Source organism: Homo sapiens, chromosome 13 (genome assembly GCF_000001405.40).
Source record: "Homo sapiens chromosome 13, GRCh38.p14 Primary Assembly".
Taxonomy (NCBI): Eukaryota; Metazoa; Chordata; class Mammalia; order Primates; family Hominidae; genus Homo; species Homo sapiens.
In genome coordinates, this window is record NC_000013.11 from 36,148,671 (window position 1) to 36,169,658 (window position 20,988).

The 20,988-nt window shown below is 40.0% G+C and overlaps 2 protein-coding genes and 1 long non-coding RNA gene across 3 annotated transcripts in view, besides 1 other annotated feature; all 3 read right to left on the bottom strand.

Annotated features, from left to right (window-relative positions):
* Window positions 5,798–6,362: an enhancer, noted in NCBI's record as "H3K27ac-H3K4me1 hESC enhancer chr13:36728605-36729169 (GRCh37/hg19 assembly coordinates)". NCBI's record gives its function as "activates a minimal SCP1, AML or CMV promoter by ChIP-STARR-seq in primed H9 embryonic stem cells {active_cell/tissue: H9 hESC(primed)}" and the evidence as "EXISTENCE:reporter gene assay evidence [ECO:0000049][PMID:30033119]".
* On the bottom strand, window positions 8,243–15,216 carry LOC107984604 (uncharacterized). The gene is made up of 3 exons (XR_001749822.1): window positions 15,162–15,216; window positions 13,065–13,219; window positions 8,243–8,409 (listed from the first exon to the last, which is right to left on the bottom strand). It is a non-coding gene; the product is annotated as an uncharacterized LOC107984604 (long non-coding RNA).
* Window positions 19,547–20,988, bottom strand: part of CCDC169-SOHLH2 (CCDC169-SOHLH2 readthrough) — a 129,598-nt gene continuing 128,156 nt past the window's right edge. Inside the window, exon 16 of the mRNA NM_001198910.2 lies at window positions 19,547–20,384. Coding sequence (NP_001185839.1) covers window positions 20,364–20,384 — 21 coding nt within the window. The 3' untranslated portion in view covers window positions 19,547–20,363. The remainder of the gene's footprint in view (window positions 20,385–20,988) is intronic.
* The window catches only part of SOHLH2 (spermatogenesis and oogenesis specific basic helix-loop-helix 2), a 46,340-nt gene continuing 44,898 nt past the window's right edge, over window positions 19,547–20,988 (bottom strand). Inside the window, exon 11 of the mRNA NM_017826.3 lies at window positions 19,547–20,384. Within this exon, the coding sequence (NP_060296.2) occupies window positions 20,364–20,384 (21 nt within the window). The 3' untranslated portion in view covers window positions 19,547–20,363. The remainder of the gene's footprint in view (window positions 20,385–20,988) is intronic.

Genomic DNA, 20,988 nt, shown 5'->3' on the forward strand with positions numbered 1-20,988 from the left:
CATCTGAGATGAGGCATTGTATTTGAGGCTTTTAGAACTCAAAAAGTACCAGAGTTCTAACTAAAAATAGGCCTCATGGTACCTTCTTATCTTTTAATAAAACCTTCCTACAGTTTTTAAGATTCTACATTAACAGTATTACTCAGCAAGTAAAAACATTGAGAAACAGAGAAATGATTCTACCAGGATGAGAAGCATTAAAACAGAATATAATCTCAGGCCTTTTCCACTGGGAACATGTTCCCTTGCCTAAGAAAGACCAGGAATTTTGGAGGAGTAAGATTTATGTGCCCAGTAAAAATAGCTGTTTGCTAGATGTATGCTATTCTGCATATTAGAGGAGAAAAGTTAAAGGTACAGTGTATTTTTTTAAAATTTTGGTCCATATAGAATTCATACAGAAGATTATAGATATAGCTAAACAATCCTGAAAAATAATTTTAAAAACATATTTTCTCATTAGAAATTAGTCCATATTCAGACTCATCATAAATAAAACAGCAATTTTTTTGGTGCTACAACAAATAAATAAGTCAATGGAACTTTTAGAGTGTCCAGAAACAGTCTTGCTCATATATAGGGCCTTGATATATGATAAAGATGGTGCCAAAAATCCGTGGGGAAAGACACAGTCTTCAAAAAGTGGGTGAGAATAATTGTTCACCACATAGAAAAAATAAAATTAGATTCCTTCCTTCATGTCATACATAAAAATAAAATTCCAGATATATTAAAGAACCAAATATAAAATGCAAACTTTACAACTAGTTTTACCAAAAATGGGGGTAATATATTAAAGATTTTGAAGTTGAGGCTAGCTTAAGTTATAAAAAGTATAACTCATAATAGAAAAGTTTGACTTTTTTTAGATAAAAATTCATTTTTGCCTATGGCAAAGGGCATCATAGGCAAAGTTTAAAGGACAAATGAAGCCAAAGCAAGACTAAGCAAAAAGGAGGCATCTAGAGGCATCAGATTTACCAACTTCAAACTATACTATAAGGCCATAGTCACCAAAACAGCATGGTACTGGTATAAAAATAGGCATATAGATCAATGGAACAGAGTAGAGAAACCAGAAATAAAGCCAAATACTTATAGTCAACTGAACTTCAACAAAGCAAACAAAAACATAAAGTGGGGAAAGCACACCCTATTCAACAAATGGTGCTGGGATAATTGGCAAGCCACATGTAGAAGAATGAAACTGGATCCTCATCTCTCACCCTATACAAAAATCAACTCAAGATGGATCAAAGACCTAAATCTAAGACCCGAAACCTAAAAAATCTAGAAGATAACATCGGAAAAACCCTTCTAGACATTGGCTTAGGCAAAGACTTCATGACCAAGAACCCAAAAGCAAATGAAACAAACAAACAAAAAAAGATAAATAGATGGGAGTTAATTAAACTAAAAAGCTTCTGCACAGTAAAAGAAATAATCAGCAGAGTAAATAGATACCCCGCAGAGTGGAAGAAAAATCTTTGCAATCTATATTGGACAAAGGACTAATATCCAGAATCTACAAGAAACTCAAACAAATCAGCAAGAAAAAAACAAACAATCCCATCAAAAAGTGGGCTAAGGACATGAATAGACAATTCTCAAAAGAAGATATACAAGTGGCTAACAAACATATGGAAAAATGCTCAACATCACTAATTATCAGGGAAATGCATATCAAAACCACAATGCGATACCACCTCACTCCTGCAAGAACAGCCATAAAAATTAAAAAATAATAGATGTTGGTGTGGGTATGGTGAAAAGGGAACACTTTTTTACACTGTTGGTGAGAATGTAAGCTAGTACAACCACTATAGAAAACAGTGTGGAGACTCCTTAAAGAACTAAAAGTAGACCTACCATTTGATCCAGCAGTCTCACTCATGGGTACCTACCCAGAGGAAAAGTAGTCATTATATGAAAAAGATACTTGCACATGCATGTTTCTAGCAGCACAGTAAGCAATTGTAAAAATTTGGAACCAGCCCAAATGTCTATCAATCAATGAGTGGATAAAGAAAATGTGATATATATACACCATGGAATACTACACAGCCATAAAAATGAATGAAATAATGGCATTCAGAGCAACCTGGGTGGAACTGAAGACAATTATTCCAAATGGAGTAACTCAGAAATGGAAAAACCAAACATCCTATGTTCTCACTTGAAAGTAGGAGCTAGGCTATGAGGATACAAAGGCATAAGAATGATACAATGGACTTTGGGGACTCGGGGGAAAGGGTGAGGGGGGTTAGGGATAAAAGACAACACACTGGGTGCAGTGTACACTGTTTGAGTGATGGGTGCATGAAAATCTCAGAAACCATCATTAAAGAATTTATTCATGTAACCAAACACCATGTGTTCCTCAAAAATCTATTGGGAAAAAAAGGACAAATGAATGGAAAAAAATTTGCAGTGAAATGACACTTAAAGAATTAAAATATGTAAATATTCATAACAGTTCCAATAGAGAACATTCCAACAGAAAACTTCCCAATAGAAAAATTAGCAAGATAGAAATTGGCAATTCTCAGAAGAAATACAAATAGCTAATAAATATATAAAAATATATTTAACCTCAGTAGGTATAAGAAACTGAAAATGAAATAAAAACAAAAACCATTGACACCACTTACCTTATATTATCAGATTAATTTAAAAAATGAGTGTATTCTGCCAAATGTTGGCAAGAATGCAGAGAAATAGAAACTCACACACTGAAAGTGGGAGCATAAATGCCCTACAGCTTTACTTAGACAGAAACTTGGCAATTTTACCATATGTGGAGGGTTGCAAAAATGGCCATGATCCTTCACTTCTCCCATTTCCATACTCTTTGTAATGTGATTTTGCACATCCTTTTATCAAGAGGTGGAGTCCATTTCTTCTCCTCTTCTATCTATGCTGACCTTTTATTCTATTGCTTTTACCAATAGATTGCAGCAGAAGAGTCATTATGTCTCAAGAGCACTTTCACTCTTTCACTGGCTCTCTTGCTTCCAGCAACTGCCATGAGAACAAGCCTGCTGAAGAAAGAGAAACCACATGGAGCAGAGATAAGCTGTCCCTGTTAAGGCAATGCTAGACCAGCCAGCCAGTCTAGCAGCTGATCACAGGTGCATGAGCAAAAGTAACCATAAATTATCTGCCCCAGAACAAATGTTTCATGTTCAGGAATCTCATGTTCCTCAGAAGGACCATATGTGGACGTAAAAGGGATGCTCCATGGCAGCATCTCCTGGAACCCCATCCTAATACAGGGCTACAACTTACAACTCCCCAAGGAGTCTCCTGAACAACCCTGATGATATGGTCTGGCTGTGTCCCCACCCAAATCTCATCTTGAATTGTAGCTCCCATAATTCCCATGTGTTGTGAGAGGTATCCAGTGGGAGATAATCGAATCATGGAGGCGGTCTTTCCCGTGCTATTCTCATGACAGTGAATAAGCCTCATGAGATCTGATGGTTTTATAAAGGGGAGTTTCCCTGCACAAGTTCTCTCTCTTGCCTGCTGCCATGTAAGATTTGCTTTTCACCTTCTGCCATGATTATGAGGCCTCCCCAGTCACTTGGAACTATGAGTCCATTAAACTTCTTTTTCTTTATAATTTACCCAGTCTTGGATATGTCTTTATCGGCAGTGTGAAAATGGACTAATACACCTGACATGCATACCTAATTGTGAGGCCTGTTGGTATATTAGCAAATTAGGCAAAAAGCTGTTAAGTTTGTTTCATTTACTCAACTGTTTTGGCAGAATACACACATCAGGTCTGTTATTCCCAGAAGACAGGCCTTCCCTTGGAACATTAGTCTCTGAAGATTGATTCTTTCATGATGTTTCTGGAAAAATCTTGGTTGAATTCAAGAATCAATAGTCAAATAATTTCAACTGCTGAGATAAGAAGCTGGTGCACTAGATTTTTATGCATTTTCGAACTGTGGAAAAAGGAATATTTTCTAAAAACTGGAATTAAGTAAGGCAATTTTATATACATTTATTTCTAGAGATAAAAATTCAGATGTGGTTAACAAAAGGAGGTAGATTAAAAGTCTCAAGGGTACATTTTTTTTTCAAGCCAACAGCATCCTTAGGGCCTGAAAGCAGCAACTACTATTATGACATATTAAGAATTATATTAAATGCTTAGCATACATTATCTCACTTAACGTTTCAACAACCCTAAAATATAGCTATTATTTCCAATTTACAGATGATGATGCCGGGATATAAAAGAAATTAAAGTCACTTGTCTGTGGTCACAGAGCCAGTAATTAGTGAAGCCTTGCTTTAAACAGAAGTCTGACTCCAAAAACTCATTCTTCTAACCACCAAAATCTGCTGCAGTAAAACACACACACACACACACACACACACACACACACACACCATTACATAATGCTGTGAGGTTCACAGAATCTTTTGTCATACATTATTTGACTTGATTCCTACAAAACTCTTATTTATTTATTTATTTTTGAGACAAGATCTGGCTTTGTGGCCCAGGCTGGATTGCAGTGGCACCATCATGGCTCACTGCAGCCTCGACCTCCTGGGCTCAAGGGATCCTCACATCTCAGCCTCCTGAAGAGCTGACAGGAGCATACCACCATGCCTGGCTACATTTTTTTAAGTTTTTTGGAAAAACAGGGTCTCTCTGTGTTGACAGGGCTGGTCTGAAACTCATAGGCTTAAGTGGTTCTCCTGCCTCTGCCTCCCAAAGTGTTAGGATTACAGGTGTGAATCACTGTGCCTGGCACTATAAAATTCTTACAACTCCCATCTTACAGGTGAGCTTACTAAGACTCATACCAAGGAAGTGTCTATTTCCAAAGTCACAAAGTTTGTATGTAGTAGATCTGAGACAAAATGTCCCAAATCCATATCCTTTCCAGCAGGTCAAGCTGCTAGATGCTTTAGTTATCATAAGCAGATATTATGGAATATGATGAACTATAAGATAAATTATTCCTAGAGGAATAGAGAAATAGATGATGGATACAGGGATTTTTTCTGCTGAGGCTTGACTCAGACAAGCAGTTGTGGGGCCACTTTGCAAGAATCTCTTTGGAGCAAGCTCTGACTTCCTTCCGTCTGGTGGAGGAGGACCAGGACCAGGATCTGGGGTTCCTGAAATTAGCAAAATGAACAAACAAGGGAAGAAGATGGAGACCACTCCCAAGACCAATGGGGAAGGTAAAATATCTGACCCAGTCTATAAGCATTCTTCCCCTGGGGCCTGGCCTGGGCAAGTACCAAGGGCAGGGGCAGAGCCAGTGACAAGAAGGACTAAGCACATGAGGTAACAAAATAAAAAGCCTGCCCACAGTGACTGTAAGCTGCCTCTTGTGCCCCAGCTGGAGTGACTTAGGGGGAACTGCAATGCCATATGTCAAATCAAGATGGTAGAAATGTTACCCAAATTGATACCTGGCAAATTGATCAAAATTAATTTTCCCTTACATTAAAGAAGAAATAGTGATAGAATTGCTACTGATATTAGTCTGAGAAACTGCCTCAATTTTTGGAGGCTGATGGACACTCAGAAAGTGATTTAAATGTAAACAACTTGTTCAATGCCTTATTTTACAATTGAGGAAGTGTGTTAGTGGTAACACACTTGGGAGGCTGAGGTGGGAGGATCACTTGAAGTCAGGAGTTTGAGACTAGCCTGGACAGTATAGTGAGACTGTCCTCTCTACTTAAAAAAAAAAAAAAAAAAAAAAATTGGCCAGGCATGGTGGCATGCGCCTGTAGTCCCAGCTACTTGGGAGGTTGAAGTGGGAGAATCACTTGAGCTGGAGAGATTGAGGCTGCAGTGAGCCGTGATTGTGCCACTGCACTCCAGCCTGGGTGACAGAGTGACACTGTCTACAAAAGCAAACAAAACAAAACCCTAGTGAGAATGTCTCTCCAGTCTGGCTATCATCACCCATGACAGTCATATTTATGTCATTGTCTCCTTGATCAGGAAAGGGAAAAGAACTATGCCATGGGAGCAGAGACAGCTCTTCCCTGGGAGCAGTGCTTTACTGAGCTGCAACGCTCTCCCCAGCCCAGGGGCAGGAGTTGAACATATCACTTGAATCACTTCTGGTTTCTAGATGCAAAAGCAGTCCCTGAAAGGAATTTCCAGGCGCTGGCTCACAGGCTGCGTGTAAACGCCCGGTCACGCCTCCCGCGTGGAGGATGGAGACGATTACTAATCACCAGCCACCTCCGAGTGACAGCAGAGGCAGGGGAGGCTCGGGGCCCAGCTGTCAGGCGCAAGGGCAGAGGTCAGCGCGGGGTCTCCCCGGAGCAGGAGTGAGCGGCGAGTGACAGGTGCAGCCGCGCCATCCCCAAGCATCCCGGAACCTGGCCCGGAGGCTGCTGTGGGATCCACAGCCCTGCGCGCTGGGGAGGCGCTGCAATGACCCTGCGGCGGCGCCTTCCCCCGGCGTCCCCAAATAGAAACAGCACTAGTGCCCTCTCTCCGACCCCACCAGGGCCGCTGCCGGGCTCCTCCTTACTCAGACCAGGCTCTACCGACTCCGCAACAGCTGCTCACCACGCTTGAGATGCAAAAGGTCTGTGTGAATACAATAAGGGGATGCATATTTTCAGGCCAGAATTCACACCCGAGCATGATTTTCACCGCGTGATTGACTTAGGTGAATTTAAAATACCCCGAGCCTCATAAATAAATTGCGCTGGGGCTTTAAATTGGCAAAATGAGTTACTGACTTCCCTGACTCTACTTAACATTGCACCTACCTATGTTTTGAGGAAGTGGAGGGGAGTCTTTCATGACTGTCTTAGACTCCAAGTCATTAGGTCTATTAGTTTGCTTTTTTCTTTTCTCGTCAATACAATTGACTTGGTCTTGGACTTCCCCAGGCAACTTTCTGTAATTAAGGGTCTCTGGAACTAACTAATAAAGTACAATCAGTGCCGATGTGAGAAACAATAGTTACAAGAACATATACCATGTTTAAAAATAGATTTAAATACTCAAAGTCCCCAAATTATTCATTCTTTAAAACAAGTGAAAGAGTTTGTAAGAGAAAATCAACCATGCGCTGAGGATAATACACAAAAAATTTGACCTTAACAAATTTCTGAGATAATAAACTCTCTATTTTAGGTCATTAAAAAAAATCTCGAAATTTTGCAGAGTTTGACATTGCCAATTTGCTCACAGTCATTGACTGCTGAAACAGATGCCAATGATCAAGTTGCCCATAAAAAAGAATAAAGCTTCTTTCATAATGAGGCCTATGATGAACTGATTAAATAAGTTAGCCAAGCAAATTCCTGGAAGAAAATACTTCATGCAGAGAGAATTGCGAGTGCAAAGCCCTGAGGTAGGGTTGTTCAAGTAAAACCCAGGTGACCATTGTCAATGAGCTGAGTGACAGAGGGGAAGAGCTGTTGGAGATGATGTTGTTGGACAGGTTGCAAGGACTGAGGTCCTAAAAGGTCTCATAGACTCATAGTAAAGACTGCTTTTCTGTGAATGAGATGAGAGGTCATTGGAGGTTTGCAAAGAAATGGCATAATCTGATTTAAACATTAAAAAGACCGTTCTGTCTACTACGTGAAACAGATTGAGCAAGGGAAGGTGAAAGCAGTAAGACTAGTTAGGAGGCCATTACCTGGGTGAGAGATATTGGTGGCCTGGACCAGGATGAGTACTGTCCTTCACTGGAGTGAAGTGGTCAGGTACTGATGACGTTTTGAAACTCAGAAAGTCAAGATTTGCTGATCAATCAAATGGAGAGTATGAGAGAGAGAGAGAGGAGACAATGACTCAAAGATTTCTGGCTTGGTGACGAATGGGTTTGCCATTTGCTAAAAGAAAGGGAGAGGAATGGTGGGAAAGGGAATCAACAGTTCAGTTTTTGTCTTGTGTGGTGACCCCATAGCCTTCTCTTTAACCCAGTGGCTTTCACCCAATATTGTAATTGGCCCCCAAGCTGCCTGACTGCTTTCTCCTTTGACTTGAAACAGATCCCACTCCGAAATCTCCCCTTTATAAACATTTTGGGTCTTCTTCATATTGTCTGTTATTCAGGAAAAAATTGCCAAACATGATTTTCAGAAGTTGATATCATAAAAACATTGTGATTATCCTTTTGTGTCTTGGACATCAGCCATTGAGAATCACTGCTCCCACCTGAGCATTTCATTTCTGTTTCTATGCAGGTTCTGATCCACTAAATAGAAAGGAAAAGACCTTTACACTCCCTTTAGCAAGAAATCTTCTGCTCCTGCAGGAAGGTCCACCTGAAAACAGAGGGCCCATAACACTCGTTGGGAAGCACCAACAGACATCCCAGACTCTCCTCATCCCATTTCCTAGTAGCTCCCTGGCACCACTGTTTGATGACAGCTTGTTGAAATGGATGCCTGTTGAAATGGTGAAGGTGAACAGTGTGAGATGTCAAAAGAAACATATGACTAACAATAAAGATAAGCTCACAAATTATGTATTTTTTTCCCAAGTGAATTGGAGCTAGCTAAAATGTACCCCTCTATTTTTGTCATTCTCCCTTGTGTTCAAGAGAGAGAACAGGGAGGAATTGCTGCTTGTGTGTTGGGAATTTCACAGAATCTTGGGCATCCCCACAAGAGTGATCGTTCATGTAAGTGGCATCCACTTTTGTGAATCAGCAAAAAAAAAAAAAAAAAAGAAAAAAGAAAAAGAAAAAGATTGAAGGCTGCTGGCTTAGCTACCTAAGGACAGCAGTGTGGAAGGACTCAGAGGAAATGGAGGACGTTGCTCCTGCTTTTGCAAAGCTTGCAATTTTATGATCTTATTAAAATAAAGCTTATTGTTTTAATTTTATCCAGATGTATAGACAGAGGCCAATTTATTGGGAGCATTTCCTCTATCTGTGGGGTGCTGAGTTTATAGACTTACATTAGTCTTTTCCAGTGATCACCCCCTCTTGTAACCTTCCTTCCTCCTGCCTCATCTCACACACAAGAGCAGTGGCTATCATCAAAGTTATTGATTTATGCCTCAAGCAGGCAGGAAGTCAAACAAAGCAGCCTGAGAAAGCAGCAGAGGCAGCTGCTTACCCAAGAGGATTTGTGGGGAGGAATCTCCTGGCATAAAACTTATTTGCTCCCACTGGCCTCAGATGAGAACAGTATCAACGACAATAATAATAGCAGCTAATGCATAATAAATGGTTACCATGTGCCAGGCCCATTCTCTCATTTCATTTTCCCACAGCCTTGCTAGGCAGCTTCTGTTAACTCCTCATTTTCACAGATTAGGAAACTGAGGCAAGAGGGGTCAGGGAGACTGCTCATGGTCACCTACTAGTAGGTGATGCAGCTCGCACTTCAACGGAGGTTTGTCTGACTCTAAAGCTCTTGCACTACTGGCTTCACACCCAGCCTGGCTTCAAACTCTCTTTTGAATCACTTTTTTTTTTTTTGGTCAGAACATACAGGCAAAGAAATTATCTTCAGAAGGTTGGTAGGAAAAATAAACACTCTGCACGGCTGGTGTAGGCACAGCAATATGCAGGTTTTTGGTTGCCTTGACAAGGCTATATTAAAGACAAAAGGCTGTTGGAGTGGGTTTAACAAAGAATTTGAGAGAGGAGTTGGAGACCAGTATGAACTATTTTGAAAACTTTTGCTCCAAAGGGGAACATTCTTTCAAAGGTGATAGAAGCGAAAAATAAAGTAAGCTAAAACAAGATTCCCAGATAAATGCATTGGCAATAGATCTTAACTGGTAAATAAATGAGACTATATTCAATACAACGCTAATCTTTTGATGTTGATATCGTATGAGGCAGCCAGACTTTTCCACTGGGGTAAGGGCACGTGGGATGGGGCCACTCCCCTAGATAAATTATAGAATTGAATAGAGCCGTGGTCCAGCATTATTTGCCATGCTCTTAGATTTAACATACACCAACTTTCAGTCCCATTTTTTGCCCAGAGTGCTGTGAAAACCAACAAGGAATCAAATATGTGGATCTGAGCAAAAATGTTAAAACTTTCGTTTCAAAAAGCTGGGAATTCTTAAGATCAAGACAAATGTGCAGTCATGGATGAAAAATCAACCACACATAATCTCAGCTTTCAACTGAGTCATGTAAAAATACTTGTCACGAAGAAAACACACCTTTGTGATGATGCAAGTGTTAAGAATAACAAGAAAGAATGTAAATAGTAAAGGAAAATCTTGCAGCAGGGTAGGGCATCCCTGTATTTCCAATTATTTATATCCAGGCAACCCATACTTTTCGCCCTGCCTACCAGTCTGCTTTTGATGAGTCGTTACCACCCTGTCATTCCCCCAAGGCCTGAAATTATTTCGGTTTTCTGGCCTTGAAAATGCTTTCTGTGTTTGATGAAGTATTACTTTGAAGACCCAAGGTTTCCAAATATTGAAGCTTCTGTTTATTCTCAGCCATATATTATTCTATTTTAATTTTGAAAATTACAGTTGTTTGCAAAGGCTATTTTTGTTGAGGAGGTGTTAATTATTTTCTGGGCCTAAATTGTGATAGCTGGCCTAGTTATTGCAGGTCCAACAGTGAACTCGGTTTATTATTGCTTTGATTTAGCTCCACTGAGGGACTGACCTAAAATGTCTTTTCTTTCTAAAGCCAGAGAATTTAATACTGTGATTGGATTGTTGTAATGGCTTCCTAACCAGTCTCCCTGCTTTCTTCTTCAACCTCACCTCCCAACCCACATTCTGTTCTCAAGGTAGCAGCTAAGTGAACTTTCAGTGCAAAGATCATACCATGTCATTCCTCTGTTAAAAACCTCCCAAGGGCTTCACTCCACAAAAATGAAAAAGTCCTTATGTTGTGCGATCTGGTCCCTGCTATGTGTAATAACTTGAACAAACCTCACAAACATCACACTGGGCAAAAGAAAATATGCACAGAGAAATACATACAGTAATTCCAGCTACTCGGGAGGCTGAGGCAGGAGAATCACTTAAACCTGGGAGGCAGAGGTTGCAGTGAGCTGAGATCGCACCACCGCACTCCAGGCTGGGTAACAACAGCAAAACTCCATCAAAAAAAAAAAAAAGAAAGAAAGAAAGAAAAGAAAGAAAGAGAGAGAAAGAAAGAAAGAAAAAAGGAAGGAAGGAAGAAAGAAAGAAAGAAAAAGAAAGAAAGAAAGAAAAGCAAGAAAGATTCCAAAGCAATTTTTCAAAATAGGTAAAATAATGTGTTGTTTTAAAAGGAATAATAGTAATGGTCTTTGGGAAAGAGGGAGCAGTGGTAGTCGGAAGAAAGAACTAGGTTTCTGGGGTGTGGACAGTGTTCCATCTCTTGACCTGGGTATTGGCACAGGGTGTGTTCACTTTGTGATAATCCATTGAGCTGCATACCTGCGATTTGTGCACCTTCCAGTAGGCTAATCGCAGTTAAGTGAAAACTCTCATGAGAGAGAATGGGAGGTGAGGAAGTGAAGAAAGTAGGCACAACACTATCCTTTCAAAAAGTTTTGCTCCAAAGGAGAACAGAGAAATCAAGCAGTAACTGGAGGGAAGTGAGGTGGAGTCGAAAGGGATTTTTTGGTTTTGTTTGTTTAGGTGGGAGATATTAAATCATGTTTATTGTGTGATGGAATTGACCTTGGATAAAATGACGATCCAGTGTTCAAGAGAGACAAGGGACAATTGCTCAAGGAATGTCTGTGAGTAGTTAAGAGTGGCTGAGACCCAAGCTGGAAGTGGAGAGGCTGGCCTAGCAAGGAGAAGGGTACAAATGATTTTGATGATGATTGAATTCCAGAGGTGAGTATGTGTTCAGGGTGGCTGGGAAATTGGGTTCCAACAGGAGCTGTCCAACAATAGGGTGGTGGGAGAGACATGAGAAGCTTTGACTTCTGATGACGAGCGACCTAGGCATGGAAAGAGTGATGAGGCTAGTTCCCATGGCCTTTTGGAAGGTGTGCAGTCATTTCTAATTATAGCCTCTTCAGGTACTGGATTTGGCTTATAATGATGGGGCAGGTCATGTCGTGATGGGGGAAGAAAAATCAATGGCTCTCCTTGTGGCCCTCAGGTCACCTCTAGAGAAGGAGGAGGTCCTGAACTCATAATGAATTCAGGAAGATTCATAATGAATTCAGGTAGATAAGAAATTGTGGAATTGAGAGTATGTACATTTACAATCTTGATGTTGCCAAATAATTGATGCAAATTTAAATTCCTGTCCACATAAGAGTTTCCCCTCAACCCCTGTTAAAGTTCATAATCTTTGTCATATCTAGTCTGTGAAAAATAGCTCATTGCTTTATCAATTCCTATTGTGAATATCTTTTCACCTATTTATTTTCCTTGTGTTTCTTCTTCATGAAATGCTGTTGATGGCCTTTGCCCGTTTTTCTCCCTGGTTGCTTGTATGTTCCTTATTCATTTGAAGAGCCCTTTGCATATTAGGGAAACAAGCCATTTGCCAGTCATATTAATGGAAAATATAGGGGGAGGAGTGTTTAATCATATGGGTCTGGGTTTCATTGTCATTCTATTTATTTATTTATTTATTTTTTGAGATGGAGTCTTGCTCTGTCACCCAGGTTGGAGTGCAGTGGCACGATTTCTGCTCACTGCAAGCTCTGCCTCCTGGGTTCAGGCCATTCTCCTGCCTCAGCCTCCCGAGTAGCTGGGACCCCAGGCACCCACTACCACACCTGGCTAATTTTTTGTATTTTTTAAGTAGAGACTGGGTTTCACCATGTTAGCCAGGATGGTCTCGATCTCCTGACCTTGTGATCTGCCCGCCTCAGCCTCACAAAGTGCTGGGATGACAGGCATGAGCCACTGTGCCCGGCCCATTGTCATTCTTTAGAAAAAGCCATCATGCCACTTTTATAAAAATATACATTTTCTTTAATGATTTTACAGTATTTGGGGGGGGGGGTGTGATGTAGGAATGCAGCTTTACTTCCTTTTTTTTTTTTTTTTTTTTCAATTTCAAGTTGCTTCCCCATTTCTGTTTCTGGAATAATCTGCTTTTCGCAAACATTCTTGAAATGCTAACTTTATCCTACCCAGTTTGAAAAGTACTTACAATTCAACTCAAGAAGAGGGCTCATCTGGATCCTGTCACACTCCATCAGTCTGAAGACCTTTCCTTTTTCTTTCTCAGCACATCGAGCACTTCACACTTACTTCATAGTTCTGAACTCTGCATCTGGGGCTACATTCATCTAAGTCTCTTTGTCTCTGAATTTTAATACAAAAGGTATGTACATTTACAATCGCGATGGATGTTGCCAAATAATTGATGCAAATTTAATCCCTACCCACATATATGATAGTTTTCCCTCAATCCCTCACCAACAGTGTATAAAAGTTTATAATCTTTGTTATATCTAGTTGGTGAGAAATGACTCCATTGGTTTTTCATTATTATAAACATCTGTTCATATATTTCTTTGTAGAAAATTACATTAAGGTCCTACCTGTGCTATTGACTGGAAATAGGCAAGTGATCAGCAAATAATTAATTACAGTCCCCTTTCTGTTATTAAAATAGAAATTTATCACTTTATGAAGACTTTGTAACTCCCTGGAAATGGTTATCTTTGCCAGTACAGACGCATGTTATATTCTTCCTTAAAGTGCTCACACATCCTCTCCCTGTGTCGTACCCTTTCTCTCTGTGCAAGTACTATATCCCCTAGTATATGATTGATGTATTCAGCAAACTGGTCAGAAGTAAGAATTCTCTCCAAGTCGTTAAAACAAAGTATGTGCTTCATTTGTTGTCTGGAATGGTTGTATGAATGGGATTCTCAACGGCTAACAGTGCTGGACAGATGAGGTCTTGCTGGAGTTACTAGTTTACCTGTTCTCTCCGTAGCCTTGTATGATCACATTTTTCTTTTCTACAAAGGAGAAAGAATACTCCCACGGCCACACCCCCTCCATACCCACCATTCCAAGTATGCCACTCACTAACTGCTACATCTACTTTTACCCCCACCTTACCCTTACATCTCATCCCTCTATCTACTTTGAGATCAACAATTTTTTAACCACACAGGTGAAGCCCTGCATCCACTGATCCACTTTCCAGGGCCCATGACCCTCCTCACTTGTAAAGCCAAGATCCCCCGGGTCTTCCAGATCATGACTCCCTTGCATACTTATTCAACTCCCTAGCCATTATCTTCTCTGTCAGACGCACTTGGTGAAACCCCAGTTAAATTTCTGCTTATACAACAGCAGCAGCCAGGCAGTCAAATTTGTCTGGAGAAAATCCCAGCAGCCCCTAGGAACCAAAACCCCTCCTTGTTTAGGATGCTACAGAGCCAGGAAGAGTGGTATGAAGTGACATTAAGAACCATTTTTCTTCCTCTGTGCAGATCGTGTATTGGGGAGTAGGTAGGCTGCAGAGAGGGAAGGTGGCAAGATAAGAAGAGCAGCTACCATTGGGCAAGGGGCTACCAAATGCCAGGAAGTTTTATAAACATGAGCTTTAATCCTCAGAGCCTGAATAAGTAAATAAATTTCATTACTCCCATTTTACAGAAGAGGAAACAGGCGCAAAAAGGCAAATAATTTACCCAAATATATGCAGCTAATGGGTCGTGAACTAGGCTCTATTCACAACATTGACTTCTAATCTCGTGCTTTCTTCATGACACTCAGCTGTCTCTTCTAGGTGAGGTAATCGGTGCCCTGGCCTGAGCGGTGAGCAAGTAGTGTCTGGCCTAGCATCAGGCACTGAGGGTGTAGAAGCAGAGCTCTATTCATTACAGAGGCAAGGACCTGATAATTGTGAAGAGCAGTTGTAGGGACATGCTGCGGGAGGCCTGGACTGGGCATAGGAGCACAATCACCAATGACTTTGCCGTGCGTTTGTTCAAGTGGGAGCAGAGTATCCAAGTGTAGACAGTGAAAAATAATTTTCAGCTGGAAACCTGCCATGACTGGCTTGGCTTTGCCAATGGGATCTGATTAGTATTCTTGAGCTTTCATTAGCATTTGAAGGAAATACCCAAATGACACAAAGCTGGTTCTAGCAGCTGAAATTTAACGTTTTAACCCAATTTCTCTAATGCAGTTAACCTGTGATAAAATGCTGCTTAAGCGCCTCCTTTTCATAAACCATTTTGGACCTCAACAAGCAAACCAGTTATACAAGCACCTTTGCACTCACCTCTGCCAAGCCAGGTCAGCGGACGTGCCTCCTTGTAGCGTGAATTACATCATTTGCTGCTGGGGTAGAGAACTGGGAGTACTTTTCCCAGCCTTGGCTGGACCGGTGCCAAGGTTATTAAGTGCAAATCCCTTAACATGATCTCCCTGTAACTGCCTCTTGTGCTGACACAAGCCTGCCCTGGGGAGCAGCATTTTAGTGCATCCTTTGTTGCAGGTTTTCCATTTTAGGGAGAATTGATAGTGAGACTAAGTATAAACACATCCTCTGCCAGTCAAATTCTGCGGCTAGGGTTTTTGAAAAGGATCTGGGAAGTCTTGTGGCCAGCAATAATATTTATATTGAAACTCATAGCTCTTGCATCGCAGGGTGAGGGCAATGATGGTCAAGAAAGGAATTCCCTTCCCCATATACGATGCTTCTCACATGACTCAAGAAAGCAAGGGAGTATTACTTTGAGCTCAGAGTAAATCCTGCACTAGTTTCTCAGTTGCATAAGATTAAAATAAAGAACCCAAGACAATGTTTTCATATTCAAATTTTTCCAAATACTATTTTCTACTTCTAAAGGAAAAAAAAAGTAGCTCAATTGGTATTTTGTCTTTCTCCCTTTCTCTTAACTCTATCAAAGGCTTAGGGGCATTTTCATCCAGCTCCTGACTCTCTAACCCTATAAAAAAAATTAGAACTTCCTATTGTACTGAAGAAAAGAAAAAGCCTATAATGTCTCCTTTAGAAAGATATTTAACATCTTTATTTTACCAGTTAAATTTCACATAGTTCAACTATAATTCTCTGTTCAATTATAAAAATCAGTGTTCCAACCCCATTGGCCTTCTTTTTGATTACAGTAAATAAAATCTAAAAATATTAAAGAAATAAGTAACTACCCCAGGGATGTGAGTGCTGTAGGTTTTTCACCCCTTCCTTAATGTTCTATAAACAAGAGTCAGCAGCATTAGAATACCACAACGTGAGAGAACCAGTATTAGCCCAAAGCACTAGGGAAAGAAATCAGTGAGTTTATTCTTGTTTTTGTGTGCCTATGCTAATATACACATAGCTATAGGAAAGATTTTCTACTTTTCAATAGTTTCCAGTTCAAAATTGAGTCTTATTTCAGGACTATGTGGAAAATAATCTACAGGATGCTTGCAATATTGAGATCTGTTATTGAGGGTTTAAAACAGCATGGAGTCTTAGAAGTCCTAAGCAGAGAATTTTTAAACGTTTGGCTATTATTTTGAAGGACAAAAAGAAATAGCTTGATGCAGATTGAAAGGAGGAAAAATTCAGTGTTTTATGAAATGTGCCACTCCCGACACCCTTACATACCCTTGATATTACCTGGGTAAGAAATAAGCATAAAGGAATATCCGTTTGCAAAGACTTCTTGGGATACATGTTCTTCTTAGAACAATCTGTGCATTTTAGAAGTCTATTACCCTGAAGTTTCTTCCAGTGGCACTTAAGCCCTCTCATTGTATAATCTTATGTCTAGAAACCTTTGCTTTGAGCATAAATTAATATTTTTACAAGCATGATGAGTAAAATTCAACCACATACAAGATGTGTAATATAATCGTGTGTTTGTACATGTATCTTGTTGTTTTCAGAAAGAACATTATTCTAGGGTGTTTTTTAAAAAAATTTTTAAAATACAAAGATCAGAGGTTTCTCCATTTTCCATAGGAGTGTCATGTTTCCATGGTGATGAAAACAGCTCCTGATACCAGATTAATCAAGGTGATCTGTGGGCTTCCTGCTTCCTAGTTCCATGTAACAGGGAGATGCACAGAAGAAAAGGGGAAACCGGTAGCATGTCTGATAGGTGGGTAGAAAAATACCAGGAGGTTCAGGTTCAGGTCTTAAGACTTTGTTATGTCAATGCCATTCAATGACAGATCCTTTCCAATGTTTTTTTTTTTTTTTTTCAAAAGTGGCATTCTGTTTTTAACAATACCTTTAGAGTAACTTCACAAAATATGAAAGCTTTGATAAAAATTCAGAACCACCTCTTCATGCAGTTTCCATTGCCATCTAGATAAACCAAAATGAGTGAAACCCCACCTCACTTTTCTGGTTTTCACTCTTCTTGGGAATACCTACTCAAAATTCATGGGGTTCACTCCCGCCTTTGAGTTTCCCAACTGTACTACCTATTCATCCTTCTAACTTACCAAAGCAGTTTCGGGAACCCATCTCAGCAAACCCTTTCTTAATCATTGTGGGAGGAATGAATGAGTCTCTCCATCACTGCCTGCCTGGATTTAGGAGGGCGGTGCTCCTTGTGCTCCACTCCAGCCCTTAACATGCACTTGATCAGTGTGCTGTAAGTTAACAGGAGCTCTCACATTTGGCTGTGCATCGGAATCATCCTAATCATCCTACGCAGAGTATTGGGCCTCATTCCAGAGCTATGGAATCAGAATCTCTGGGAGAAAGTCCGAGAATGTACAGTTTTAATCAACGTATGAGTGCTTCTGAGGCCCTGCCAGGTTTGGAAATCAATGACATATGGTTTTAGTTTGTATCTATTCTGTCCCCTATGGGTATCTGCACTCTTTATGTGAATTGGGTGTGTTTAAGAGGAATAATCAAATACCAGCAAACACATTTTGTAGTGTTTAAATGCAGATTCCCAAGCACCAGGGAGCAAGGCTTACCAAATCTGACCCTGTAGGGGTATGGCCTGGGAATCTGCATTTTAACAAACCCCCCCATCCTCTCTTCCCGAAATGATTTCCTTGTATAGAGAAACAGTACCCCTTTGGGAACCAAACTGGAACAGGGCACACCACTTCAATGAATGAGGCAGGCTGGATGGGAAGGGACCAAAGGGAAGCTGATGCCCCATGTAGAGGGAGGCACTGCTCTGCCTGAGCAGTTCGTCACTATTTTTCCAGACTAGAAATAGAGCCAGTATTCTCTATGTTTTGAATTTTTCAGAAGCTAGAAATTCAGAGCAATTTAATTTCTTAACATTCAAAAACAGCCAATAAACAAACAGCTGCCACCGGCAACTTGTGCCCTCTGCCTTTGAGGGTTTTACCCATGTACCTTGAATCTCTGGTGATCTGCAACACCTTGTGTCATCAGGAGCCTGGCCAAGTGACCTCTTAAAATGTATCATACAGTATGACAGAATTGCAGCATCACAAGTTCCTATTGGGTCATCCAGGCCACTCCCAACATTTAATGTTTAATTCCCCCACTTTGGCATTCCCCTCCAGTGCTGACACCCCAAACCATGTCTCTCATCTATATCTATTGCCTGTGCTGCGATATCTGAATGTATTTTAGCTACTTCAACTGGGATATCATTTAAATACCTCAAATGCAACATGTCCCCATATAAAATTGTCATGTTCTAATGCCATGACTCCAAGTGTTCTTCTCCTTGCATTGTCTCAGTGAACATCAACACTGTCTCACTAGCTGCTGAAGCCAGAAGCCTGGGTGGCATCCTTAATTCTTTGCCCTTCCTCACAGCCCCTATATCAGATCATCTACTATGTTTCACTCATCCTGCTACCACCACCGTGAAACTTACAAGCTGTCACCTTTTCTAGGCAAGCTCTTTGCATCTTCTTCATTGTGAAAATAACACTGCAACTGTCTGTCCCATGACCAGCCAACTTGATTTTACAAGGAAAATCCTGCTCCTTTTCTACAAGGTAAAACCCAACTAACCTTTCTTCCTTGGCTAAGAGTTGAGCTCATTTGGAAGAGAATAATTTATTAAAAATGAAATTCTCACATTAGAAATGAATTTGGACACTTGCATGAAGTACAGGATTATGGGACCCAGCCTTGAAAAGTAGAGAGCTCTAACGATGGATCTGGTAGCCTCCTCTTTATGCTGAAAGGAAAATGGGACTGAGAGAGCAGCAAGTAGAGAGATGGCTCTAGGGGTCACACTTTTTAGGTCCTCTGTTGAAGAACTTCCAGTCACTGGCTTCTCTCATAGCCCACATGGAGATATAAAGAAACCCTGGTACAAAGCAAAAGCCCCAGCAACAATTAAGACCAGCTGGGAACATAGGCAGTAGTCCCAGTGTCCAAAATACCTCAACAGGTTCTTTTCTAATGTCAAAGCAATTATTCCTAAAGGAAAGAGAATGAAGAATCATGCACCTGTTTTTAATAATAAGAATAAAGCCTTAGTTGGAAACTTCTGTTCCTTTATAAAGTATGTCAAACATCTGCAGATTCCATCATTTTGGTATCCTCAAAGAAAAGTTGTACAATTTGATGTGAGAATTAGGCTATGCCTACAGTAATTTTTAAGCTTCTCAAAACTCTAGGAAATTAAATTCCCTACATAGTACTACTAAAAGAGAAAACATATATTTATTAAACAAAACAAAAATGGATTACAATGCTCAGGGTGAAAACTGAGTATTTTATTTAATAATAAAACTTACATATAAGAACAATTCAGTGAAATATAAAACAAACCTTTTTCCCCCTTATTTTCAACTGTCCTTTCTAATACCCATAGGGAGGAAGAGATGAAAAACAAAAAACCTGCTAGTCTGTAACTTAAGGTCCAGAAAGAAATATTTACCTATTAGCCATCGTTTCACTCAAGGGATTGTGAAATGCAAAAGCACACATCAATTTATTCATTAGTTGTCAAGTGAGGAGGTAAACCCCTCTTTCAGCATCTCTCTGCATATCTTAGTTTGGATGGTGAATGAAGAAGGAAACTCTCTAAAATGTCAAATAAGGAAAAGACCACCTAGAAATGAGTGACAGTAATTCACAGGGATACTAAAAATAAGAATCAAGTTGTAATATCTGTACTCAGTGACACAAGGTATCAACACACCTTCCCAATCTAATCATTTTATCGTGTCTACATGGATCTTCCTTATAGCATGCTTTTTTCATAAATTGTGGAATATTTTTTGAGAAAAGAGAGTGTAGGTCACTGAGGCCATTTGTTCTTGTAGCTCTCTGGCTGGCGGGGATCCAAGTGTGTATGAAGATGAGTGACAGTGTGTGGCCAGCTTTTTCGCTGCTGGTCTTTCTATCTGCAGAAGCTTTGAGTGCATTTATCAGAAGCCAAACCATGCCAACTCTTTTGATATTAGGTCTTTGGGTGGAGCTTTCAAAATCATTCTTTGTTCCACTTTTCCTAGATTGTCAAACTGCGCCCAGTAGGTGGTTGAGAGTGTGAATTTCAAACATGTGCTTTTAATACGCCCAAAACTGTTGCTGCAAAGAAGGGGGAAAAACCCACATTAATTGAATCCTCACCCACTCTTACTCATAATGTCATGATTGTATTTTCTATATCCTAAAACAATCTGAAATGATTTGCAAAACTATGTTAAATCCTCAGGTGAATAAGCTTACAGGTTTTTAAATATATATTCTTATTAAAAGTAATTATTTTCTCACAACAATTCAACAAAACCCACCCAGAGTAAGTATAGGTCAACAATTAAAAAATGATAATATTGTAATCTTTGCTTTCATTTACCCTAGCCTTCCTATTGGAATACTAATGATCATTAGCAACATTACGATATCTGTAGACACTACATATTTTAACATTTCTTCGCAATTCTCTTTAGAATATTTTTCTTACAAATATCTTTTGGAAGGTCACTATTATTCCCATTTTATAGATGTCATATGAAGATTGTAACAGTATCTACCGTCAAAGGATCACTTCAGGGATTCTCATAAGATCATGCACATTAAGTACACAGAGTATTTGGCACTATTAGTTATTGAGTGCTCAAAACATGTTAGCTATTGTTAATATGCAAAAGTATTAGCAACTATATTAAAGTTAACAGAAGTCCATTTTAAG